The 27,831-nt window shown below is 39.6% G+C and overlaps 1 protein-coding gene and 1 long non-coding RNA gene across 12 annotated transcripts in view, besides 1 other annotated feature; one reads left to right on the forward strand and one right to left on the reverse strand.

Moving 5' to 3' along the window:
• Window positions 1–27,831, reverse strand: part of FOXP1 (forkhead box P1) — a 629,271-nt gene that overhangs the window by 324,105 nt on the left and 277,335 nt on the right. For 10 of the 11 annotated variants that reach the window (NR_146143.3, NR_146142.3, NM_001244810.2 and 7 more), the window contains one exon: window positions 21,008–21,068. The gene's annotated coding sequence lies outside the window, so the exon portion shown is untranslated. Of the gene's footprint in view, window positions 1–21,007; window positions 21,069–25,866; window positions 25,960–27,831 lie in introns of those variants that run through there. The other variant, NM_001244812.3, reaches the window with a different exon arrangement.
• On the forward strand, window positions 10,946–27,042 carry FOXP1-AS1 (FOXP1 antisense RNA 1). The gene is made up of 5 exons (NR_126463.1): window positions 10,946–11,159; window positions 13,705–13,828; window positions 17,638–17,695; window positions 23,916–24,048; window positions 26,860–27,042. It is a non-coding gene; the product is annotated as an FOXP1 antisense RNA 1 (long non-coding RNA).
• Window positions 26,986–27,641: an enhancer, noted in NCBI's record as "OCT4-NANOG-H3K27ac hESC enhancer chr3:71354949-71355604 (GRCh37/hg19 assembly coordinates)". NCBI's record gives its function as "activates a minimal SCP1, AML or CMV promoter by ChIP-STARR-seq in primed H9 embryonic stem cells {active_cell/tissue: H9 hESC(primed)}" and the evidence as "EXISTENCE:reporter gene assay evidence [ECO:0000049][PMID:30033119]".

Below are 27,831 nucleotides of genomic sequence, written 5' to 3' on the forward strand. Positions count from 1 at the left end.
TAAAATACCAATTAAATAATACCCAGCCGCGCCTTCATGAATCTCTTAGAGGCCTTTAATGAGGATCTTTGTTACTCTTGATAGAAACAGGAATTGGGGCCGGGCATGGTGGCTCAGGCCTGTAATCCCAGCACTTTGGGAGGCCGAGGCGGGTGGATCACCTGAGGTCAGGAGTTCGAGACCAGCCTGGCCAACATGGCGAAACTGTGTCTTCTACTAAAAATACAAAAATTAGCTGGGTGTGGTGGCAGGCACCTGTAATCCCAGCTATTTGGGAGATAGAGTCAGGAGAATTGCTTGAAACTGGGAGGATCACGCCGTTGCACTCCAGCCTGGGTGACAAGAGTGAAACTCCATCTCAAAAAAAAAAAAAAAAAAAAAGAAAGAAATAGGAATTGATACCATTGTTCCAGAAAAGAGTTGGGGAATACATACATAAAATTTCAATATAAATCAATACATGTTTATCAAATTTAAATACACATAGCTTTTCACCCAGCATGTCCCAATCTGGTAATTTGCCCTAAATTAGTGCTTCTCAACTAGGGCAATTTTTTCCTCCATGAGACACTTGGCGATGTCTACGGATACTTTTTCCCTGTCATGCATGGGGCAGGGGTGGTGAGTGGGGAGCAGAGTTATAGGCATCTAGCAGGTACAGACCAGGGACGCTGCAAAATATCCCACAAATCACAGCACAGTCTCCCACAAGAAAAAACTAGTCAGCCCCAAACAAAAATAAGCTGATGCTGAGAAACTGTCCTTAGGAAATAGACAGGCTTGCAACTATGCATATACAAGCTTTTTGTATACAATCTCGTGTATCCAACCAAGTAGAAATGGTTAGATAAACTGCGATATATTTATACATAGCTATAAAGTAATAATAATGTTGCTATATATCAATTGTTACAGAGAGATATGGGTAACATTTTTAAATGTTTAAAAAGTAGGAAAAATGTAGCATACTCCTGGCAAGAGAAAACTGTTATGTGTCTATACCAAACTGCCCAATAAAAATAGAATGCAGGCCAGGCGCGGTGGCTCATACCTGTAATCCCAGCACTTTGCGAGGCCGAGGCAGGCGGATCACGAGGTCAGGAGATCGAGACTATCCTGGCTAACACAGTGAAACCCTGTCTCTACTAAAAATATAAAAAATTAGCCGGGCGTGGTGATGGGCGCCTGTAGTCCCAGCTACTCGGGAGGCTGAGGCAGGAGAATGGCGTGAACCCGGAAGTCAGAGGTTGCAGCGAGCTGAGACTGCACCACTGCACTCCAGCCTGCGCAACAGAGTGAGACTCTGTCTCAAACAAAAAAAAAAAAAAAAAAAAAAATAGAATGCAAGCCACAAATGTAATTTAAATTGTTCTAATGGGTACTTTTTAATAACTAAAATGAAGTGAATGAATCAATTTTAATAGTATGTTCTAATTCAATATATTTAAAACATTATCATCATTTTAACCTATAATCAACACCCAAAATTATCCGGTATTTTACAATATCTTTTTTTTTTATTTTTTGAGACAGAGTCTTGCTTTGTCCCCTAGGCTGGAGTGCAGTGGTGCGATCTCAGCTCACTGCAACCTCCGCCTCCCTGGTTCAAGCGATTCTCCTGCCTCAGCTTCTTGAATAGCTGGGATTACAGGTGCCCACCACCATGCTCGGCTAATTTTTTTTCTATTTTTAGTAGAGACAGGGTTTCACCATGTTGGACAGGCTCGTCTCAAACTCCTGACCTCAAGTGATCCACCTGCCTCGGCCTCCCAAAGTGCTGGGATTACAGGTGTGAGCCACCATGCCCAGCCTACAATATCTTTTTTTTTTGTTTTCAAAATAATTCAGGTTACCCACATTTCATCTTCTCAAGAGCTGCCTATGGTAACTGGCTACCATATTGGACGGCCCAGGTCTATTCCATAATCAGTGAGCAGAGACAAATGTTTAGAAGGATGGTCTCCAAAATGGTCCAAGTTGTGATCCTGGGGGTGAATTTATGGTAATGTTTGCTTTCGTATTTATGTTTTCCTTACTGTTTGTTTGTTATGATAAGAGTTATCCTGTATAGGTAAAGAAAAATTAAACTGCATGCATTTCTGAAGGAACAAAGAGAGAAAACAGCTTGTTAGGTGTCATGAAGATATACGAAGCAGCCCTTTCTAATTCCTTGTTAAAAAGGACAGATCCTACCAGCCTGGGCAACATGGCAAAGCCCCTTCTCTACAAAAAAAAAAAAAAAAAAAAAAGAAGAAGAAGAAGAAAAAGTAGCCAGGCGTCGTGGTGCATGCCTGTAGTCCTAGCTACTCAGGAGGCTGAGGTGAGAGGATCACCTGAGCCCAGGGAGTTCAAGGCTGCAGTGAGCTATGATCATGTCACTGTACTCCAGCCTGGACAACAGTCAGACCCCATCTCAAGATAAAAATTTTAAAAAAAAAAAGAAAAAGAAAAGGACAGATTCTGGAGTTTTCCGAGAAAGGGTCGCTATCACCAACCATGTGCGCGTGCACACACTCACTCTCTCTTTCTCCTTCAGATAATAATGGGGTCAAGGTCATTCCTGCCAACTGTACCCACAAACAGCCAACCCTCTGCTATCTCAAAACACATCTGAGTGGTGAGAAAGCACCCGCTTCATGTTCTTCCAAACAGACAGGGATTCTGGCTCCCTGCCCTGTAGAACACACACATCCTCCCATCTAGCCTAGGACATGGTGAATACCTGACCGACATGGTTTCTGCCCACATTGCTCAACGCAAAGTGCTCTCAGGCCTGTCAAGAGCCTAATGCTCTTTTAATGCAGTCTCTACTTGTAAGTTCTAAAATAACATCATGTTAGAGCCAATGAACCTCACAAACAGCCCTGGAAAACCTGTTCACAGTACTTCAGTCCATGGTTTAAGTTCTGAAAAGCTCGTGAGCCCAGGTCTCTCCTTCTGAACTCAGGAACATCTGGATGGCAATGGCTTGGCCTTTTACATTATCATCCCTCAAATCTAAGCTGAGGCTGGGCACAGTGGCTTATGCCTGTAATCTCAACACTTTGGGAGGCCAAGGCATGTCACTTGAGTTCAGGAGTTCAAGACCGGCCTGGCCAACATGGCAAACCTCTGTCTCTACTAAAAATACAAAAAAAAAAAAAAAATTAACCAAGTGTGGTGGTGGGCACCTGTAATCCCAGCTACTCAAGAGGCTGAGAGGGGAAGACTCGCTTGAACCCAGGAGGCGGAGGGTGCAGTGAGCTGAGATTGTGCCACTGCACTCCAGCCTCGGTGACAGAGTGAAAAAAAAAAATCTAAGCTGTAACAAAGCTAAGTGAAGATAAGCCGAGAAGATCCCTCTAAGTGGTACCACACCTTACTCTCTGGTGGCACGTAAGAAATGAGCAGAAGAGAGAGAATATTTCAAATACAGTGTTATCCATAAAAATTCAAAAATCATTTCTTTTTACTTAGGATCTTAATTTTTTCTATTTTGGGCCAAAAGACAGTACCAGGATGCCTGTTTCATTTCTATTCCTATTAGGCTCTCCTTAATATATATATATTTATTAAAGATATTTAAAAATACTTTCCATATCTTGAATTTTTAATTAATAATAAAGATTATTAACCTCCTTGAGAACTTACTACATTCCATGTACTGTGCCAATCATAAAAATTACTGGTGTTGTGGAGCCGACATTTACTGAGCATTTGCTGTGTATAAAACATTGCTCTAAGCACTTTTTACCTGAAAAGAATTTAGTTAATCCTCAACTACTTCACAGGGGAGGTACTAGTTTAGTATCTATTTTTGCAGGAAAAAAAAAGGCTTCAAGAAATCTGGTTACTTCCTCAAGATCAGAAAGCTAACAAGTAGCAAGACCAGGCCCCCAACCCAAGATGGAAACCTGAACTCCCAACCTACGCTATTCTTTGTATCATCTTCACAGCATTCCTATAAGGCAGGTCCTTTCATTCTACCCGTTTCACAGATGGGGACAATTAACTGAAAGTATTCAGGCCATGCCCAAAAACTGGCATCCAAACTCAGCCAAGGCATACTCCAAGTCCATTCCCGCCTGGAGACATGCTAGTACCAAACAACAAGCTATACCTTCATCATGTCGGCACCTGAGATAGTCAATTTCCCATTACAAAATTGGTCCTGTTTTGAAAGGGTGGTAGCAGGAATCAGACAAGTGCACAACAACAGTCCAGTTTCTAAGTGCACTCTCAGGAATGGGAAGAACAGAGAAAAAGCAGAGCATGGTCCAGGCCATGGGTACCCATCTGCCTTCCACTGGTGCTGAGTGCAGGGAAATCCCAGAAAGGGCTGAGAGAGGGAGAGGAAGTGCACTTTCCTTTCAATTTCCCTTCCTTTCTAATTCCTTCATTCAGGAATGAATAAGAATGAGCTGCTTGGGTTTACGGACTCACAGAGCAAACACCCAGAGAGGGGCTGTAATTCCCAGTGCCCCCAGTGTACTCCGGAGCCCCACCCCCAACCCCCAGCAGCACCCTTCTAAACTGATACAAATGGCAGGTGCTCCCTCAAGTCCATAGGCCTGTTCCAAGGGTCTTAGAGCTTAAATGGACACTACTGCAAAGCTTCTGGAACCATGGGGCCAGAGGATGCTGGCTCATTGAGTAAGGAGCTGAAAGAGAAATGGGGAGAAGCTTCTTGGGCTGGAGAGGACAGGACCTACATGACGGTGTGTCCTCCATGTGACAGGGAGACTCCTGAAGGGATCTGGATGACAACCCTTTTTTATTTTAGCTGCTGAGGATAACAGAGCAATAGCAGAAGTTGTAAGAATAGCAGCAACTGCTTACTCTTACTGTGCTAAGTGCATTGCTCAGTGATTTGTTGTTTCTCCTCCCTATACAACACTGAGATTGATCCACCCAATTTGCAAAAGAGCCTTTTGGTTTTTTTATGTTTGTTTGTTCACTGATGTATCCTGGGATGCCTAAAATTATTGAATGCTTACTTGTCCAGAACCAGTAAGCACTCAATAATTATCTGGTGAATAAAGAAATGAATTTAAAGCTTCAAAGTACCATATTAGTCCTGGTACAAGGGCCACTGGTATAGTGGCCTCCCAATGACAAGACCCCTTTCCTATTTTCTCATCACCCTGGCTTTCCCAGTATCCCCACTCCTTCAAACCCTGCCTGTTCCAATGAACAATTAAGAACAGCCTAAAGAAACAAATACAACTTCTGGGACTTCATTTGTAATGAAAGAATTAAATAAAAATTTTTAAAAATAAGATAAACCTTTTTCTCCTATGATTAAACAAAAAAATGTTGAAACTCTTTGGCAAAGTTCAGTGAAATAAACATTCTCATCCAGTACTGATAGGATGAGAAAAAGCAAGATGGCAAGACACATGGAGAACTTGTAAGAATTACATAACTGTTCTTCTACTGATTTTCCCCCCTCTAGAATACATCTAAAGAAAAGCAAATTAATAGACAAATATGCCAGGCACAGTGGTTCACGCCTGTAATCCCAGCACTTTGCGAGGCCAAGACGGGCAGATCACTTGAGCCCAAGAGTTCGAGACCAGCCTGGGCAACATGGCAGAAACCCGTCTCTACAAAAAATATAAAAATTAGCTGGACATGGTGTGTGCAACTGAAGTCTAAGCTACTCGGGAGCTGATGTGGAAGGATCACTTGAGCCTGAGAGATCAAGGCTGTAGTGAGCTATAATCATCACTACAATCCAGCCTGGGTAATGGAGGAGACCCTGTTTCAAAAAAAGAAAAGACAAATATTTGTGCACAAATATGCCAACTGCAACGTTATTACAGGAAAACTGGACATGGTGTCAATACCCAACATTAAGAATAGTTCTTTAAATTTTATTGTATCCGAAAGGATGATGTGGTATACAACCATTCCAGATGTCTTTAAGAACACTTCATGACACAGGAAAATGCTCATCATGAAATACTAAATTAAAAAAAAAAATGGATACACAAATACCATATACTGTATGGCTACAACTTTGTCAACTATATGTACATTCCATTAAAAAAAGAGTAGAAGGAAATATATGTTATCATCAGGGTCAGGAGTCTAAATTACTTTTATTTTTGCATTTGTCTACTTTTCTATAATTGCAAATTCCCCATAATGAGATGGTTTTATATTTATAATCAGAAAAAATTAACTTCATAAGAACTTTCTATTCTATGTATGTAACATACATAGAATATTATAATGAGAACTTAGTTAATGAAATTATATGACCCTTCCTGATGACAATTTTACATTGGTAGGTATTTTATCCCACAGAAGGGAAATAAAGAACATTAACCCCACTCCAAAGCCAGGTAGAACAAGACCTCAGAAAACACGCAGTTCGAATCAATTAGCTTATGCCTCAAAAATAGTAAGAAACACACATCATTATCCTCTTATATACCCCAGCCCTTGGCAAAACACGTCACATAGGAGGCAGTCATTTGTATGAATCAGTCGCATAAGGATAGTGTAGTCAACTAAATTCTCATGCTATACAAAACTCAACTATTCAAAAAATGCACAGTAGTTGTCAACCAGCAGGATAATTCTAACTTTATACATATCTTCATCAAACAGCCTTGTTTTTTAAAAAATCAGGCTTTAGAGGGAGGAGAGACACAGAGGGAGAGGGAACGAGGAAGAAAAAGGAAGAGAGTAAAGAGAAGAAGGGTGAAAAGTGGGCACTTTCTGAGATAAACATTTTCAGATGATGCTTTTCCTATTTAATATTTTGAAACACTTGTAAATTCCCTTAACATAGCTTAGAGAAGAGAATATTAGAAATTAAATCCGAGAAAGGGTCATGTACATAAAAATAATACACCTTGGTTTTCAGTTGGTCCATTTTTTCAACAGTCAACTTTTTAACAGTCAAATTTTAATATTTCCACTTATCTTTGGTATTATATCACAAAAGGAAGGAACTGATGTAGTGGAAGAGGCTGGGAGTCACTACCAACACAGAAATCTACAATTACACAGTGGCCTGGGGTCTGTCATTTCCTTTTCTGTATCACAGTTTCATCTTCAGTAAATATAAGGAATGGGCTACAGAAGTCTGACATTCCTTGGTCCTCTCTGAATCTATAAACCTAAGAATAAAGTCATGTATCACTTCACAATAGGGATAGGTTCTGAGAAACGTGTTGTTAGGCGATTTTGCTACTGTGCCAACATAAGAGTGTACTTAAACCCAGATAGTATGTATATTTTTACTTATATATTTTCATATGGAAAACCGTATGTCCCAGCACTGTTACCTAATGTCAGTCACTTCTCCTACTTTATCTGCAATGACAATACCAAGTGCTATGTATCAGGTATGCTCCATTATAATTTTATGGGACCACAGTCATATATGCAAACCATCGTTGACCAAAACATCCTTGTGTGGCACATGACTGTACTTCATTGATTGGCCATTTGGGGATTTTAGAATTAGATGGGATATCTACCACCATGTAGAGTGTCCCCCGCCACCCCCGCCCCGCCCGCCAGCACACAGCTCAATTTTAAACACAGGGAGCCTCATAGAAACTCAGTAACTACTTATTGCTTAATCAATTAGTAACTATATCACTGAGGTATAGCAAAGAAGAGAACTTAAATTTCATACTCTAAAAGCTGTAACTTTTTTAATTTTACAGAGTTAATCTGAATGAAACCCAACCAAAGCAAAATTTGCAACTATAAACAAATTTATATTAATGGCATGTGCTGGGACAAGAGAATGACTGATATTTGGGATAAATTAAACAATGAAAGTATAAATGGCTCTCCTTTGAAAGATACAAAGTTCCTTATCTAACAAGCTGCAAATCAAGTTGGGGAAGTGGGAAAATATCGAGGGAGAATTCAAATCAGAAACAAAACAAAACAAAACAAAAAACTGCCTACCAACTTAATGTCTAGAAATGTTGTCATCAAAGTTGATACAAACTCTACCTCATGCTATCACAGAAAACACATGTACGCAGAGCCAAGCAATGATTTTATGTGCCTGGAATTCATTTGAATATTATTTAAAAGTAGAGGGAGAAACTAGGTGATTATCTAAAATCACAACATCTTTTATGAAACTCACTCAAGAGACTGAGTTATCTCGAGATGTCCAACACAGACGTAGTTACAATCACAAATAACTGGAAGGAATCTAAAGACCCACCAGTTGCAGGTATAGAAAACACAACAGTGGTAGTAATGAACGTAGCTTTAAAAATAAGATGTAGATATATTAAGTAATAACTTGGGAAAACACTTAAGATCGTTTAATGATAAAAGCAGGAAACAAAAAGAGTACATACAGTAAAAGTATATATAGACAAATGTTTTTAAATATGCCATATATAAGAAATAGCCAGGCAAGGTGGGATTACAGGTGTGAACTTCGGAACTTTGGGAGGCCGAGGTGGGTGGATCCCCTCATCCCAGGAGTTTAAGACCAGCCTGGGGAAAATGGCGAAACCCTGTCTCTAAAAACATACAAAGATCAGCCAGGCGTGGTGGCATGTGCCTGTGGTACCAGCTACTCATTGAGGCTGAGGGGAGAGGATCACCTGAGCCTGGGAGGCAAGAGAATGCAGTCAGCCGAGACTGCACCACTGCACTCCAGCCTGGGCGAAAGAGCGAGACCCTGTCTCAAAATAATAATAATAATAGTAATAGGGCCAAGCGCTGTGGCTCACGCCTGTAATCCCAGCTCTTTGGGAGGCTGAGAGGGGCAGATCACTTGAGATCAGCAGTTTGAGACCAGCCTGACAAACATGGCGAAACCCTGTCTCTACTAAAAATACGAAAATTAGCTGGGCTTGGTGGCGGGAATCTGTAATCCCAGCTACTCAGGAGGTTGAGGCAGGAGAATCACTTGAACCTGGGAGGTGGAGGTTGCAGTGAGCTGAGGTCGTGCCACTGCATTCCAGCCTGGGTGACAGAACGAGACTTCATCCCAAAAAATAAAAATAAAATAAAAACAATAACATTAGGATTTAGTTACAATGTTGAACTGTTTAAATAAGGTTACCAATGAAATTTTTCTCACTACTTCTTCTTCATATATATATATTTTGAGACAGAGTTTTGCTCCTGTTGCCCAGGCTGGAGTGCAATGGCACGATCTTGGCTCACCGCAACCTCTGCCTCCCGGGTTCAAGCGATTCTCCTGCCTCAGCCTCCTGAGTAGCTGGGATTACAGGCATGCGCCACCACGCCCGGCTAATTTTGTATTTTTAGTAGAGACGGGGTTTCTCCATGTTGGTCAGGCTGGTCTCGAACTCCTGAGCTCAGATGATCTGCCCGTCTCGGCCTCCCAAAGTGCTGGGATTACAGGTGTGAGCCACCACGCAAGGCCGCTTCCTTTATTTTTTGTTTCGTAAGTGCATTTAAAATTATCCACAAAGAGAAACTGTCCTTCCTTCATCCAACACCATCTTAACAGTATTTAGCATCCATATAGAGATAATGTGTGTTTTTGTAATTAACCTACCATTTCCTGGATGCTTGAGGATTTGCGACTGGCCAAGAAATCTTGAAAATGTTCAACTGTGTTTCACAAGTTTTGAGAAAGCTAGAATCTGTGATGCTCTTAGGTAATCTGAAAGGCAGATGAACCCATCAAAGACTACCTATATTAGTAAAAGGTAAAGGTGATAGACAGACGTGGCTCAGGCTCAAACTAGTATTTTACTAATCTAGAGACTATGTTAACCACACCAATCTGTGATATACTTCAGATGATTACAATCGACATATTCTAAGTTAGGGCTATAAACACATCCCACTTTCCTCTATGCCTTTTATTTAAACTGCAAATCTCCAAACCATCAGATTAGAGAACGGGTCAAGAGGGACAAAATGCCCAGGATTCCTTTTTCACTGCTCACAGGTTGTACTATGACCCAAACTTCACAAAAATGAGTGCAAGGGGTGGGGGAAAATGTGGTAACTGTAACAAACAAGAATGCTGAACAATTACTATTCCTGGAAAAATAATACAAACCATGTAAGTTCAGCCAGCCAGCAGACTGCTAGTTATATAAAGCCAGTAAATATGATAGGAGTGAGATTCAAACACAACTAACTCTTACTAAGGTCATCAATGACTTCCATATTGACAAATCCAATGGTCAGTTCTTTGTCATCATCTTTTTTGACCACTTGGCAGAATTTGATATGGCTCACAACTCTCTTCTTATTTATTTATTTATTTATTTATTTATTTTTTGAGATGGAGTCTCTCTCTGTAGCCCACGCTGGAGTGCAGTGGTGCGATCTTGGTTCACTGCAACCTCCGTCTCCCGGGTCCCAGTTCAAGCAATTCTCCTGCCTCAGCCTCCTGAGTAGCTGAGATTACAGGAATGAGCCACCATGCCGAGCTAGTTTTTGTATGTTTAGTAGAGACAGGGTTTCCCCATGTTGGCCAGGCTGATCTTGAACTCCTGACCTCATGATCCGCCTGCCTTGGCCTCCCAAAGTGCTGGTATTACAGTCATGAGCCACTGTGCCCAGCCTAATTTTGTTTTTTATCTAGAGACAGAGTCACTATAGTCTGTCACCCAGGCTGGAGTGAAGTGGTTATTCACAGGCAGGATCATAGCACACTATAGCCTCAAACTCCTGGACTGAAGCAATCCTCCTGCCTCAGCCTCCTGAGTAGCTGGAACTACAGGTGTGAGCCCCCATGCTCAGCTTTGTTTCCTACTTTAAACACTTACCTTGATGACTTTCTGGTTCACAATCTCAGAGTTTTCATCCCATCTCTGATCTTTCCTGTTCTCAATATTCTATGACTAAAACTTTTAATGGTGTTGGCTTTTTATTTTTATTTTACTTTTTTGAGACAGAGTCTCACTCTGTCCCTCAGGCTAGAGTATTGTGATGCAACTGTGGCTCACTGTGGCCCCAAGCTCCTGGGCTTGAACAATCCTCCTGCCTCAGCCTCCCAAGTGTAGCTGGGACTACAGGCACACGCCACCATGCCCAGCTAATTTTTGTTTTTTTTAATGTAGAGATAAGAGTCTCACTATGTTGCCCAGGTTGATCTCAAACTCCTGGTCTCAAGAGATCCTCCCACCTCAGCCTCCCAGAGTCAGAACCCAGATCCTGGAACTCTTCTTTTCTTCTTCTATACCACTGCTTCCTTGGTGAGTTCAGTCAAGTTTATGCCTTTAGGTATCACTTACATGCTTATAAATCCTGAATTTATAGACCAAGCTAGGACATTTCCAGGACTACATATCCAAATGCCCACTTGGCATCTTAGTCTGGGTGCATAGCTCAAACCTCCCATATCTACAACTACATTCCTGGTCTCCCTTGCTTACCTCCCCTACCTCCAAAACTGCCCCACCCACTGTCTTGCTGTATTTTAGTGATGGGAGCACCACCTTCTATCAGTTCCTTAGAACAGAAAGCATTTGTCTTCTGACTCCTCTGTTTCTGCCCATAAGCAATCCATCAGTGAATCCTATTGATTATATCCCGTCATTCAAGACAAAAATCTTAAGAGTCTTCTGTGATGCAACTTTTTCAAACTCCCCATCAATTTCACTAGGAAATCCTTTGGCTCAATGTTTAAATAAATTCCAAATTCAACAACTTCTCAGCACCTCCCCTGCCATTGTGATCCTGGCCATCATCATATCTCACTGGGATTATTCTAGTGGCCTCCTGACAGGTCTCCCTGCCTATGACCTCATCCACCCAAAGTCTATTTTCAAAACAGCTCCCAGAGCGATCCATTTAAAAAGCATGAGTGAGATCTTGCTCTACCTCAAAGCCCCTCAATGGCTCCCCAATAAGAATATAAAAAGCCCTAATGCCCTACTCAGTCTGGCCCTGTTACACTGTTATGTTGTCTCTTACTACAACTTGAGTAGCCTTAATCCAATATTCTGCAATCAAAAGTGCTCCGAAATCCAAAACTTTTTGAGCACAGATACAACACTCAAAGGAAATGCTCACAGGAGCATTTCAGATTTGGGATTTTGGGGTTAAGGATGCTTAGCTGGTAATGCATATATTATAAAATCTGAAAGATCCCAAATCAGAAATATTTCTGGTCCCAAGCATGTCAGATAACAGATACTCAACCTGTACTCTTCCCTTAAGGACACTGCTTCGGCCATACTGGCTGACTTGCTCTCTTTAGAATAGGCTACATCTCTGCTCACCTTACATGGACTTACCCTGACCACCCACCACCCTATTTACACAGCAACCCTTCCCTCTGACAATGTGACCTCCCTTATCCTTTTATATTTTCTCTACAGTATCTATCACCACGCCCTTGTTTATCACGCTTCGCTGGTTGTCCACTCCCTCTAAACCAATGAGCAGAGGGCTTGGTGGCTGTGCTGTCCACTGCTATATCCAGCAACACTGTCTAATAGAAATACAATGGCTGCCACATAAGTAACTGTGACGCTTTTCAGAAGTAACAAGAAACAGCTGAAATTAATTTTAATATTTTATTTAACCTAATGTATCCAAAACGATCATTTCAACATGTAATCGATGAAGAAAAATTATCAAATATTTCATGTTCTTTTTTCCATACAAAGGCTTTGAAATACTTTGTAGATTTTACACTGCACATCCAAGTTTGGGCTAATCACATTTCAAGTGTTCAGCAGCTCCAGGTAGCTAGTGGCTCCCACACTGGACAGGGGAGGTCAAGCACAATGCCTGGCATACAGCAGGCATTTAATAAAGATGTGTGAATAAACAGATGAGGGAATAAATCCAACCTGCAGAAAGAACTACTTTACATTGCAAAGACAGTACTCATATGTTTCAGAAGTTTTACTGCATACACATAAAATCCTTACCACATGTGACATATTCTGATTTTTTTATTTTACTGTATTGTATGCTTATTCTGTATTTTTTTTTTTTTTTTTTTGAGATGGAGTCTCACACCAGGCTGGAGTGCAGTGGTGTGATCTTGGCTCACTGCAACCTCTGCCTCCCGGGTTCAAGTGATTTTCCTGCCTTAGCCTCCCACGTAGCTGGGACTACAGGTGTGCGCCACCATGCCCAGCTAATTTTTGTATTTTTAGTAGAGATGGGGTTTCACCATGTTGGCCAGGATGATTTTGATCTCTTGACCTCGTGATCTGCCTGCCTCGGCCTCCCAAAGTGCTGGGATTACAGGCCTGAGCGACTGTGCCTGGCCGCTGATTCCATTTTTTAAAAGTCTTGGGTACAAGCCACTACACTAAAATCCTTAACCCACAAACTGGTTCCAACGGCCACTTTGAAAATGACTGGTCTAAATAAACTTTAAAGTATGGAATTTGTAATGAATGTATTTTAGGATATTTCCTCTGGCCTCCAGAGACCACTGAGGACCTTTTGAAAGGGAAACAGACCAACCTCCAGAAAAAAAAGACTGGAGGAAAGAGTGAGCATGTAAGCTACCATGGCAAGCCATAGACTGCAATAATCACAGTCCATCCAACAATGGGAGGTTTCTCTTAATTAAAAAGTAATTTTATTTTACTTTTGATTTATTTATTTTTTGAGATGGAGTCTCCCCTCTGTTGCCCAGGATGTAGAGCAGTGGCATGATCTCAGATCACTGTAACCTCTGCCTCCCAAGTTCAAGCAATTCTCTCACCTCAGCTTCCCAGGTAGCTGGGACTACAGGTGTGCACCACCATGCCCAGCTAATTTTTGTATTTTTAGCAGATACCAGGTTTCGCCATGTTGACCAGGCTGGTCTCAAACTCCCAACCTCAAGTGATCCACCTGCCTTGGCCTCCCAGAGTGCTGGGATTACAGGTGTGAGCCACCATGCCCGGCCTAAAAGGTAATTTTAAATAACTGGTCACACTCTCAGATAATTAACAAAACATCTAATTACCTTTAATTACATACCACATATATGCCAATATACAAAATTCAGGAAAGATCTGCATGATTTTCACCCTTTAAAAAGAGTGAATTTGACAAGGGCAGAAAGACTTCATGTTTTTCCTTTTTCTTCCCGACCCCATGCAAAGCCAGATCAGTGGCAGAGAGGAACAAACTGAAACGATTCATCTTCATTTCAAATTCACAAAGTCCCATTCACCAATAGTGTTTTTAAAAGATACCACAAACTTCAAATCCAAACTCAGCACTGCTTAGTAACTGTCACTACAGCTTCAACTTTTAAATGGGCTCATAAAATAAGGATTCTGTCATCAGTACACTATTTGTTTCTTTGAGGTCCTTGGTGTTACTAGATACTGAGGGGGTAGGCCCACAAGGTTAACACAGATGTGCTACCTTTTATAATATTTTGTTTTTGTACAGTTAAGCTTCAGATTTCTTTCAGAGGCTTTTGAATTGCCAAGGAAAGGCTCTATTTCCTACATCTGTGGTACGTCGTTAAGTTGCCACCTAACATGAGGTTTGTGTTCCTAAAATGCTCAAGGTGAGCAGTTGGAATATTTGTGCCTTTGGCAGATAGGACAGCAAAAACATCATTTAAAAAATACATGGATACAGTAGTTCAGTGGTGTGAGCCTATAGTCCAAGCTATTCAGGAGGCTGAGGCAGGAAGATCCCTCAAGCCCAGGAGTTCGGGGCTGCAGTAAGCTCTGATCACACCTATGAACAGCCACTGTAATCCTGCCTGGGCAACACAGCCAGACCCCATTTCTTAAAAAAAAAAAAAAGATAGATAAAACCATTTGCTATTTGGTTTTGTATTTTTGATTGTTCACTGTGCAAAATATGGTTATTTGATAATTGCTGCAAATATTGTCTTTACTACTAAATATGCCTTCATGTACATTTCAACAAGTGACTTCTGCTTGAAAACGAACTCTATTGAGCATATTTCTCTGGAAATCAATATTTAAGAAATTTTTTTTCTTTGAAACTAACATTCAAGAGAGACAGCTCTTGTTTACAGAGTAACTTAGTTTAGCATTATGGCTAACAATGTTTAAAAACAGCTAACTTAAAATGCAAACATTTAAATTCTGACGTTTAACTGTTGAGAGGCCATGTCAGTCTACGGAAATACACACAGCATAAAAAACAGTAATTTTTCCCCAGTTCTGTCCCTTGTAAGAATATTTCAAGCAACCATTCTCTTAGATTTAAAAATAAGAACTCATGAGGTTTTAAGACAGTTAAAAATTTTAAATGCCTAGATGAACCTTGAAAACATTTTGCTAAGTGAAAGAATCCAGTCACAAAAGGATGTGGGATTCCATTTCTATGAAACGTCCAGACTAAGTAAATCTATACAAACAGAATGTATATTTGTTGTTATCAGGGGATGGCGGGAGGGCAGAATGCAGTGTAAGTGCTAATAGTTACTAGGGTTTTTTCTTAAGCGATGAAATATTCTAAAACTGAACTAGATGGTTGCAACTCTGAACACATTAAGAACTATTGAAAAGTCAGTACACCTTAAATGGGTGAATTGTATTGTATGTGAATTATATCTCAGTAATTCTGTTAACAAAAAATTAACATGCCTGATAACATTCACAACAGCATATAAGGAAATCAAGTTAATCTCACATAACTTCCATACGATGCTAAAACACATAATTCCCGACACCCTGGACTCCTTGTTTTAGACCACTTCTCAAATCAACCAACAATTGCCCTTCCTAACACCCATCATCAGCATCGTCATTCATGTATGCCTGCCCCTCTAGACTATCAACTCTGTGAGGACAGAGACCATGTCCTTCTTACACGGTGCTATAATCTCAGCACCTAGCACACACCCACCAATAAACATCTGCAGTAAGAATTAATATATGTATGTATGTACATACATCTGTATGTATGAATGAATGAATGAAATTACTAGATTGGAGCAACTGAATCAATGAAGTACTTGTATTCTACTTGTCCCCTTAAATCTGTTTGTCAATTCTCCCCAGGCTCCTGGCCACCTAGGTAGAGACACTTCCCAGCAGCCCTCAAAGTTTGCTGGGCCTTATGACCACAATCTTACCAGTTAAGTGACAATGAGTGGGATGTATACAATGTTTAACTCTTTTGATCAAAAGAAAATTGCTTGCTTTGGACATCTCCATAGTGCGGCAACAACATAGCTTCAACCATATGATAAAGACAAAGCCCCAAGGGAGGAGAGCACAGACGGAAAGATCTGCCCAGACAAGCTACATTGGTCTGGTTGTTTCACGAGAGAAGTAGACTTCTATTTTATTTAAGCCATTTTACGCTGGGGTCTCTTTGTTACACCAGCCTAGTCTTTACCCTGACGGTTACAACCCAGGCATGAGTGTACTGTATGTGTGTACGGGGGATCAGGGAGCATTTCAATGCTTAACTGAATTGACTGATCACATTCCAGCCAATGCGGTCATCTGGTAACTCAGTAACGACTGCTTCCAGTGTCTTCATAACAACTTCCTTAATTAATGGTCACATAATTCAAATGCTAAATACTCTAAAAAGGTAGTTTTGAATGGGTTTAGCTCAGAATTGCTGTGTCATTAGGTAAATGTTCAAATCACTCACATATACACTTTTAAAGGAACTTATATTTCAAATAACTGAATAGCATTTTAGCTTTATTTTTCACCAAGAAATAATTTATAATAGGTAAGACACAATGAATGTTATCTACAAGGATGCATTTATAGTTCCTTCATCTAACATAAAACACCTTAAATTAGGGATGGAGTGGGGGGAAAATTGCAATGATTCAACTTCCTTTTGATTGTTTTTTAGTTTTCTCTCAAATAACCTGACTTTAAAAAAAAAACTGAACCAATACACAAAATGTGAAGCTTGGAGATGCCTAATGTTTAAAACTAACCATTTTAATTGTAATCTATATGGCCTTGATGATTATCTTCAACTCTCAATGCCATTCAGAATTGAATATAAGATGATGAATTTTACAAATTGGATTTGAATTTTAAGCAAATGCATGTGGGTAAATTGTCAATGGTGAGGGGAGGCAGGAAAAAATGCCACAGAAACCTTTATTAGATCACCAAACCAAGGCAACCATAATAGAATGACATCTGTATAATTGTGACCAGTGCATCCCTCTTTAGTTTCCATCTTGACATTCTGGATGACCTTGGGTAAACTATTTATCATCAACGGGACCGTTTTTCCAGTCTGTAAAGTGGGGATTATGAGAATTGCCAGCTACCTCTTAGGAATGCCAGCAACCAGATCCATTTTGTAAAGCACTCAGATCTAGTTGGAAGAAAATTGTTATATCACTCCCGAGTATGATGACTGTTATTTATGACTCTTCAGACCATAGAATCCAAATTTTCAAAATGGCTTCATTTGGTTTTCTGAATTTGCCTGGCGACTTTTATGTATATAATCAGTTATTCCCATAGTACCTTTGTAGGCATATTTCTGTGCATCTATACTGACTCTTAATAATTCCCAGGTTTCAAATTTGAGGCGTGGTATTTACTGAGAAGCTCCTGGCATCTGAAGTCTACATGCTTCTTGCAGTGTGAAAGATGATGCTGATTTTTTTGTCCATTGCTGGATGGCAAGGTCTTCTCCTCATTTAAGGCTTATTCATCAGGAAGAAACGCTAACCACTATATTCACTTGAAACATCTTTTTAAATTGTATATTTCCAACAAACCTTTTATTTCTTTCTAGATAAGAGATCAAGATATATACAAATTAGTCTTTGAAAGATCTTTCACCTTGTTCAAAGGTAAAAATTACATTTATTACTTAAGTCTATATACCCTAACTTATTTCTCCCCAAAATTTGAAATTAGCATCAAAACACAGATGGAATGGATACTGTAAAAGAAAAAAAAAAGTGTTAAGTAATGAAATGTTCACTTGGAATAGGAATACTGAAGATGATGTATGATATACTTTGGAAATGTGTCCCCTCCAAATCTCCCTCTTGAAATCTGGTCCCCAATGTCAGAGGAGGGGCCAATAGAAGGTGTTTGGATCATGGGGGCTGATCTCTCACGAATGGCTAGTGTCCTCCCCAGAGTAATGACTGAGTTCTTGCTCTATTAGTTCATGACAAATCTGGTTGTTAAAAAGAGCCTGGCTCCCCTTCCCTCCAAGCTTCCTTTTTCTCTTGTCATGTGACATGCCTGTTCCAAACCCCCTTTTGCCATGACTGGAAGCTTCCTAAGGTCCTTACTAGAAGTAGGTACTGGCACATGTTTCTTGTACAGTCTGCAGAATTATGAGCCAAATAAAATTCTTTTCTTTATAAATTACCCAGCCTCAGGTATTCCTTTATAGCAACACCAAACAGACGAAGACAATGTATATAGAACAAAAACAAAGACAACAAAAAAAGCTGAAAGTAGAGAACAACTATAGAGACTGAGCATATAAAATACTTTTATGATCAAGTAATTTTACAAGGGGGGCATTATTTGCACGATATTAAATAATCCCATAGATCATGCACTTGATAGTGATTATGAAGAAAGCATTTTTTTTGTAATATAGACTATTTTTCTCAGGCAATGCCAATGACAAATTTCTAGAAACATTTCTTTCCAATTTTTCCCTTGACCTATGATATTTTTAACTTTCAACAATATTACAGAATTTGGGGTGGGGTGGGGACTGTATTTCCATTTTCAGGTAACAGGTGAAAGAACGGACATTATAAAGATATTGAATCAGAAGAAAAATAATTCATGCTTACAGGTGATTACAAAAAAAAAAAAAAACAAAACAACAAATGAAAACCCATCAGTGAAGGTTATATTTGGAGCTGTATGGATAAGGCAACTCTCAAGCTAAACTTTTCATCTTTTCTACCACTTTTTCAGCTTTGTTTAATTTTTTTTTTTTTTTTTCAGACAGAGTCTCCTTCTGTCTCCCAGCCTGCAGAACAGTGGTGCGATCTCAGTTCACTGCAACCTCTGCCTCCCGGGTTTAAGTGATTCTCCTGCCTCAGCCTCCTGAGTAGCTGGGATCACAGGTGCCCGCCACCACACCCAGCTAATTTTTGTATTTTTAGTAGAGACGGGGTTTCACCAGGTTGGTCTCGAACTCCTGACCTCAGGTGATCCACTCGCCTCAGCCTCCCAAAGTGCAGGGATTACAGACATGAGCCACCATGCCTGGCCTGTTTAATCATAATTTTTAGCTTTGCCAGAAACCTCTGCTAACAGTAGGAGATGAGTTAGACATGTGGCACCACTTTGCATGAGGAGCATCTTGGATTGAGATCACTCTGTGAGATTATAGAGACCAGGAGACAGCAAATTACCACCTTGCTGAGTAGCTGCAACAGAGGCTGAATGCCCCCACAAGTAGAAAATATTTACTATGTGGCCCTTGACAGAAAAAGTTTGCAGACCCTTGATATAGATTAATGTCTTCCTTTTAAAGATTAGAAAACTGAGGCCGGGAGCAGTGCCTCACGCCTGTAATCCCAACACTTTGGGAGGCCGAGGTGGGCGGATCACGAGGTCAGGAGTTTGAGACCAGCCTGACCAACATGGTGAAACCCCGCCTCTCCTAAAAACACAAAAATTAGCTGGGTATGATGGCGACTGCCTGTAATCCCAGCTACTCAGGAGGGTGGGGCAGGAGAATCACTTGAACCCGGGAGGCAGAGGTTGCAGTGAGCCGAGATCCCGCCACTGCACTCCAGCCTGGGCAACAGAGCGAAACTCCGTCTCAAAAAGAAAAAAAAAGAAAAAAAGAAAAAGAAAAAGAAAATTGAGCCTCAGCAAAGGGAAGTGTCTTGCTGTGGCCTGATAATCCCAATTACTGGTTGGGAATCAATTCCTTCCATGCCGAAACATCTGAAACGTATGTTTGTCCTCTCTGAAATACAATTAGGTAGATCCTGCAAAGGTTTCATTTAAACAATATAGATGGTGAAATGATGCAAGTCTGATTTTTCTAGACCAAATTAAATGTGCCAGAATGCAACTACAAAAACAAATCCATATCCTTTATATATATGCATTCTAGAACCCCCCCAAGCCCCAGGTGAGACTTATCAAAAACTGATCAAAGATTCTTCACATTATGAAAAGTTCCACAAAAAACTCTGTTCAACTCAATAATAAGTCTATATCTGACAAATACATAAACTTTAGTAAAATCTGAGCAAAGGCTTTGTTCAACCATGCTGGCAGGTAACCTGTTTTTAGACAGACACAAATCTACTAAATCAAATGGAACTATTAAAGGCCAAAAATTCTAAATGAAACAAAGATGCTACTGCTTGAGAAATATCAGATGTTAAAACGACCGGCAGGATCATCTTCTGTAAGATGATCATTGCCTTTATCAGAGAGGTACTTTTGAAATCAAGTAAATATGTAGCATCCATAACCATTTTAACCGGAGTACTTTTTCACTCCCCCTCCCAAAAGCGAATTTGAGAAAATTAAATTTGGCTTTAATTCATTAAGCTACTTTAGTCTCTCTGAAAACTTCTAATTTTAAAATCAAGTACTCATTTGATTTTCAAGCAAGGTCAAGAGAACAAGGCAGCCTAGCGCTGACATTACAGGGATATGCCCCACACTGCTCAGCAGTTACATCAATGTGGCGTGTTGCTATGGTGCCTGACTGTTAATTTCTGAAAGAAGGTGATTATAAAGCCGCCAGATGAACATCAATTGGATGACACCACTTCAGCACACAATACTGACATGCGTTACTCTTGTTTGCAGCAAGTTAATTTTATGAATCACCACTTTTGTGATGTGAATATTCCTTTCTAACTTTAAACCTACCAAGTCAACAAGAAACAAATAAATTTAAAAAATAAAAATAAGTTCAGCTTCAACAAACAGAGAAGAGTTTGATAATATTTGGGGGGGAAATGTGAACCTGTAGACCATTTCTTAAGGGCAACCATTTTTCTTAGGACCTCCAAAAATACACCACATATGTCCTTACACGCAAATAAATACATGTTTATTTGACAAATACAGACCAAAAAGCAACTGAATTAAAATGCCTGGAAGGCAAAAGACACAGCCCTGGATATAACTTCACTAATCACATTTGCATTTACCTTTTTTGGCTTCTGTAAAGCAATCTTCAGTTATAGTCACCTCAAAAGGTCACGTCTTACCCTGAAAACAAAAGAGAACATCAAAATCTGAATGTCAAGAGAAGTAGCAACCACCTCTGCCAAGGACAGACACAAGGAAAACAACAAAAGCACTCAATTCTATTTAATGGCAAATGACTTTCAGGGTTAATAAAAACAAGTCCCAAGAATCTCTACTTATCTGGACCATATGCCTTTGAGCTCTTCAAGACAACAAAATTGACTTGGTGGGGAAAAGTCAAGGTGAAACATTTCAAATGTTGTGTATCAACTTTTTCTCATCTTGTTGTCTATCGATTTATTTTCATGGAGAATAATATGTGACTCATAGGCCTCTGTTTTTGGAAACCAGACTGCCACTTGAACGTGTCTCTGTTTGGTTAATATCCACAACATCTCTTATTTCATTAAAGCAAAGACTTATTTTTTTCCCCTTTTGGAAGAGAGTTAGGTCTTGTAGACAAGATGCTTTCTGCCACTTCGGACCTTTCAAAATGAATGAAAGCAGCACCATTTTCACTTTGGGGAGGGGCAGGGAGTTAATTGCTGGCGAAAGCTGTTCACAGAATGTTTTTCTCTTACCATGTATCTACCGGAGCTACTAAGTTAAATTAAAAAGGGTTCATGTCACATGAAACAAACAATTGAAATCAAGCTTCCTAAAACACAAAGAAACCATGGAACACATTTTACCCCACATCCTACTCCTGCATCTGCATACTCCCGTATGCAAAACAGTGTTTAATCCTTTAAGAAACATTACAAGCTGCCTCTTTCTGCCCATGTAACTGGGATCAACATATGGCACGAGTGAAAAGAAAAACATTTGTTTATTAATTTAGATCAAGTTACTAAGAGGGTACAGGATTCATTCCATATCCATTGACCAAATGCTCATATAATTTTTAAGGTGGCGAAATCATATCATCATTTTACCAAAATGTTAATATCTTTTTGCTCACTCTTCAGAATAGCATGTAATGAAGTGGTTTAATTTTATAGGAATATATCCCTGCTCATCCCTCTGCTGTCAGCCCTGAATGTGGAAAGGCAAACATCATTGAGAAGAGTAAAATCTTATTTCACGAGGGCTAAAAATTTGAAAGTGGCACTTTGGTGTGTACTATCTTTGAGGAATTGATCCGAGGCCAATTTATGACATTTCCACAAGCAAGTGTATGCAGATTCTTGCCATTAAGATTGGAAAAAGACGCAGGCTCTGAGTGAAATCATAATTTTCATGTTTACTGTAAGAGGAAATTGGAGGTTTTCACCATAAATTTTCACCATTTGGGTGGGGGAAAACCCTAGCTCTGGGACTTAAAATTACTATTTTGCAGCCTGACCAAAACCTTTTTGTTTTTACACAAAACAATTCAAATTGAAAATGAAAATCGTGTGCTTTACTGCTGATGTATGTCCCCAAGATTGGTTTCTCCAGTAGTGAGAAGTCTATTTCAGGGCAAGCAACGATAAGAAAGAAAAACAGAGCAAAGATGGTCAGGTCCTCAAGGTAGAGCTAAGATCTGCAGAGCCCCACTCTACACAAATCAGAGCTCAGTAGATACAAAGCGCACACAGAAATTTCTACATCTACCACTCATCAAATCTTAAATGTAAAGCAAGTGAACTTTGGCAGATCCTACTCAATTCAAAGCAAGAACGCCTTTTCCTCTCTCCTTTTTACTTGAGATGTTCTCCAATACATGCACTGTAAACTAATTTATATGTTTATCTATTGAGCTGTGTCTATTTTTGCATGTTTGGCAGTCAGACCTATAGTATTAGACTTTGCAATGCAGATGAGATTTGCCATCATATAGGCCTGGCAAACAACTGGACCTCATTAAAATTTAATTTTTTTAAAAAACTGCTGAAAATGCCTCCTTCGAATAAAGTTATCTCCAGTGCTGCATTTGAACCTGCGGAACACTTTCAGGTAAACACTAGACCTGTTTTTCTACTCACCTATCCACACAGTATAGTGTGTAAGTGAACACAGAACAAAAATAGAAGCTGATTCAGCCTCAGATTTAACCAGTATCATTTTTTTCCCCTAGGGATACTGGGGAAAGAATTACAACAAAATTATACAACTGACCATCCAATTTATAAATACTAAAACAATACGAAACTGACTACATTTAATTTTCACTTATACATAAAAAATGGGCAGTGGGATATAATCTCTATCTTTCTCCATTTTGAAGTTCCATAAATTTTGGTGCACATGCACGATTGGCCACTCATTAATTTATTTCTGTTGATTTTCATTTTTAGAGAAGGTATAACATTAACAAAGTAATCTAACAGACATTTTTCTAGTTTTGCTGAGAAAAAGATTAATAGTTCAACAGCTGTTTGCCATCATGCTAAAGTAAATGAAATGTGTCAATATAATAGACAAGAAAATTAGGGCTAGTACTGGGGCCCGAGTCTGCCTCATTACTAGCTTAGAAGAATTGGAAACCAACAACTAGCAGAAAAATAGGCATTTCATTTTTTCCAAAGCATACAACTTCCCTTTCCAATACTATATTTGCTATTTTCTTTAAATCACTTTTACTTATCAAATAGATCAACTATTTACCTGTATGCTTACTGGCAGCACAAGCACCAAAACTAAAATTAAATGATTATGCAAAGCTTTTATGTAAAAAAAAAAAAAAAAAAGATAAAGATAAAAGAAATACATTCCCCTCCAGCCCACTTGTCTTCTTTTAAAAAATGCTGTCTCCATACGAATTGCGTTTTTTTTTCTTTTTCTCTTTCTTTTTTAAGTTTCCTACTGGTTTTAGGTTTTAAAAGTGAGCCAAGGATATGGTAAACAGAAATTACTTATTTTCCTTTATGTCATTCTCTGTAACAGTTAAGATCCTGTGAACACCAGAATTGTTCCATGGCCTCTTCACTATTGATTGCAACAGTATCATTTACCTGAAGTTACACAGTGACCACAAAAACCATGTCCAGGACACCAAATTTCTACTGCGAACTCTAGGGTGAGACACTAAATGTACATTCCTCTTTCTCTACCTCCCCAACCACCCCTCCTCCCTAATTAGGACTGTTATTCTAAAGAACCCTCAGATTATTGCAGTATTTCAATATCATACTTTCTATGGATATATTTTGCCCTTAATTTAATCTGTGTGACATATAATACACGGTGTCCACTAGTATGTCCTACTTGGAACTGAGTTGCAGGTAAATGTGGAGGTGCAATCTCATTTCACAAAACTGAAAATGAAGAGTATCAGCTCTTTTTTTCCCCATTTATAGTATTTCCCCCTTCCCTTTCTTGACAGCTAAAATAAATTATCTGCATTAAGATTTCTGCATTATATTTCATTTTATATAATTGTGCAAAAGCAACTCTGAAGTATGCCCAACATAGTTCATCTCAATCTTCAGCCTACCCAATACTGGCTGAGAACCTATTGTGTACCAGTCTTAATAAAGATGCAAAGATGAGCAAAGCAAGCCCCTGGGTGGTGATGGGGGGCAGTTCAGTAGGTCTATGGCTAGAGGACACTTTCTTACTAGGAAACTGAGGAAGGAACATGGTTCAAACTTCCCATACCCCCAAATCCTCCAATCAAATGGCCTGTACTCATTTGCAAAAACTGGTCCAAATAGGCCAATTTCCAAGAGTTTGCTGCCTCTTTAAATAGGGAATCTTATCTTCTGTGGGCTTTAATATCTTGTTTTTCAATGACTTCTTAGAAAATATAAGGACATCAACATATATTTGACTATTGAAAAATATAAGACAAGAGTCACTTTATTTTCTATAGTGAAGAAAATCTACTCCAAAATCAATCTCAAAGTTTGTTCTATGCCCTTAAGACTTCAAATACTGAGTAAGATTTCAAAAAAGAAAAGAAAAAAAAGTGGGGAAGGTGGGGAATGAAGAAAGAAAAGAAGAAAATAAAAACGGAAAAAGGGGAGAAAGGAAAAAATAGAGAAAAACAGAGGGGAAAAAGAAAGGAAAAGAATAAAGCAAGGAAACAAGAAAGAAAAGGAAGGAAGAAGCTGCTGTGCAGCCGGGGTCTCTGAGACCAGAGGCAAACTTGGACGCTACCCAGGCTTGCAGCTTCACAAACACTACACTTCTTTTACTTGTCTCTATCAAAGAAATGTGCGACTTTGAATCCACCATTCTTCAAATCTCTCTCCTATCCCTGCAAGTAACATTTTACTTCCTTTCTCCTCATCCTCTGGGGCCCTCATCAGATCATAGTACCTAACTTTGGAGTCCATTCTAGTAGGGCAAAAACCTAAAATATTATACATTAAGCCACGTGGTGCAGTAAACCCCAGTCGATGCTTGCCCATGAAATTACTTCAGGCTGGCAGCCCCCCACTCACTCCACATCGGCCCATCTCATTTGGAAAAATGACTCTCTCCTGCCTTACAGAAAAGGAAAACCCTGGCCGTGGTCATGTGAAAATATTTTATGGGTATCCTTTAACAGCCTTTAAATGTTGAAACCTAAAAACAATATTTGCTGTTTTCCCTTCGAAGCTCTAACAAAGCCTTTGTTTTAGATTCACCTTTAGTGTGCAATAAGAGTTAATAATCAAATCCATCCCAACCCCCACAAATGTTAAACAAAAAGATAAAAGAAATGCAAATAGCTATTGTCATGGAAAGTTAAAGTACCTGTCTGTATTTTTAAGTGAAAACTATTATCTCTATCAATCAAAATTTAAGAATACAATAGCACTAATCACAGAAGGTGCTCTGACGGAGTTACTTTGCCTCAAAAAAAAGTATTTTTCCCCTTAAAAACCAAGTATAAAAGTCATATACTTACAATTAGATAGAGTATTTGTAATTTTGTTATTAAAAACCTTCAGCAGCCTCACTGTTAATAAATGCTTCTAAGTCTCTAGACTGATTTGTACCCAAGAAGACACAAGTCCCTACATATTTTAATAAGGTTGATGAAATTTTATTTAAATTCTCACAGTTTCCAACCGGCGGGGGAACAGCACACTCTTCTGTTGAAAAGAGTTACTCAAACAGAGGCAACAGTTAACCGGTCATGAAAACTCCTTCTTTTAGAGCCTGGACATAATTCCCACACCCTGAAATATCTTCACACAGGACATATCTTCCTTGGATGGTTCACCCTTGTTAATTGTGGCAACTTATTTTTGAAATAACACTCTACCCTCAAAAAGAAAGCAGAATACCCCCATCATACCCCAGAATGATCTAAGTGTACACTACATGAATTTCTCTGAGTCTGTTTTTAAAAATTCACTTTAAAAAAAGACTGGATTAGCCCCTGAATATGGTGCTTTCTAAAGACAGTACGGGAACAAAAAATAGCAAGACCCCAGATAGTAAAACAAACAGCTCAAGATTAAAATTCCTAGAGCAAACAGTTAAGCCAGGATGCCATTATGCACACTGAGCCTGGATGATGTCTCCTCCACCGTGGGGCCAAGAGGCTGTCATTTTCCCCCCAGCAAGATCAGATTTCCTTCCCTCCCGACCGCCTCTCTGAGCATCATGGCCAACATCTCTAGTGTGCTATTAATATCAATGAAGAGACGATTCGATTTCCACAGAAGAAAACCTTTCCTATTCCGGCACAGACCTTCGGGGAGGACCCTGGCCCGGGTATAGACAATACAGCGGCAGAGTTTCTGTTTTCTTACAGTTCAGTCTTAGACACTGTTTGAAGGCTTTTAGCAAACAATGGCAGCATTATCTGCAGGATAGTTACAAAACAGGATTTGTTAGGACAAAGAATAATAAAGCTGCTCTCTCTCTCTCTTTTCTTTTTAATTCCCCCTAGTCCTCACGAGCCTTTCTCTGCGAGTCCAAAATTCAGCCACATTTCCTAAGAGGCACCTGTACTTGTCTATTTCAATGCAGCCAGAAGCTGACAACGGCCCAGGAACCAGGACTGCTTTCAGGAGGCGCTCAGAAGGGCAGCAAAGTACCCTCTCAACATTAGTAAAATGAAACAAAAGTGTCAGCCTTGGCTTCGCACACACTTACCCGTTCATGGTGAGGAGGCAAAGCTTTGGGGCGGGAGAGGCAATTTTCACACAACGGAAGAAAGTTGAGAGTTTGTAAGGGAGAAACTACAGGCGCTTGGAAGCCTGCTGGCTCTCAGGGCTCCCAGGCTGGCGGCAGTGTGAGGAAGGACTGAAGGTATGTGGGCTAAACACAACAAAAGCCACTGCCTTACTCTAGATTAAATATGCAGGAAGAGGCCCCTTTGCATAAACACAAACACTCAGCAAATGAATAACTGGCTCAATCAGACGCCCGCTGTGCCTTCTACCTGTCCTCACTCTGACAGGAGACACTGCCTATTCCAGGGGACACCACTAAACAGGAGTCAGTTAAATGTTATGTTGCTATAATAACAATTAAAATGAATTGTATTCATTAGTAATTAAGAACTCACTCGTGGGGCGGGGGGGAGTGCTATTGTTGTATCTCCAGCTACTCCAAAAAGAACTTGTAGTATACCCATCCCTGGAGTTCTACTATGGGTTGCATTTCAATCTTTAACATTCAACGAATTTTAAACAATCGGTTTGTTTAGTCACAATTGTCAGATATACGTCTCGTTTCTCTGCTTTGTCACATTGTAAGTTGATACTTGTGACTCTGTACCTACAAAGATCTGTTTGATATATGCATATAAAGTGTACATATAAAAATATATACACACACATATATATATGTGCATATATACTCACACATAATACATTCAAGCATATCTAGTTAAAGAGAATAAGCCAAAAAAAAAAAA

This window comes from Homo sapiens, chromosome 3, assembly GCF_000001405.40.
Source record: "Homo sapiens chromosome 3, GRCh38.p14 Primary Assembly".
Classification (NCBI taxonomy): Eukaryota; Metazoa; Chordata; class Mammalia; order Primates; family Hominidae; genus Homo; species Homo sapiens.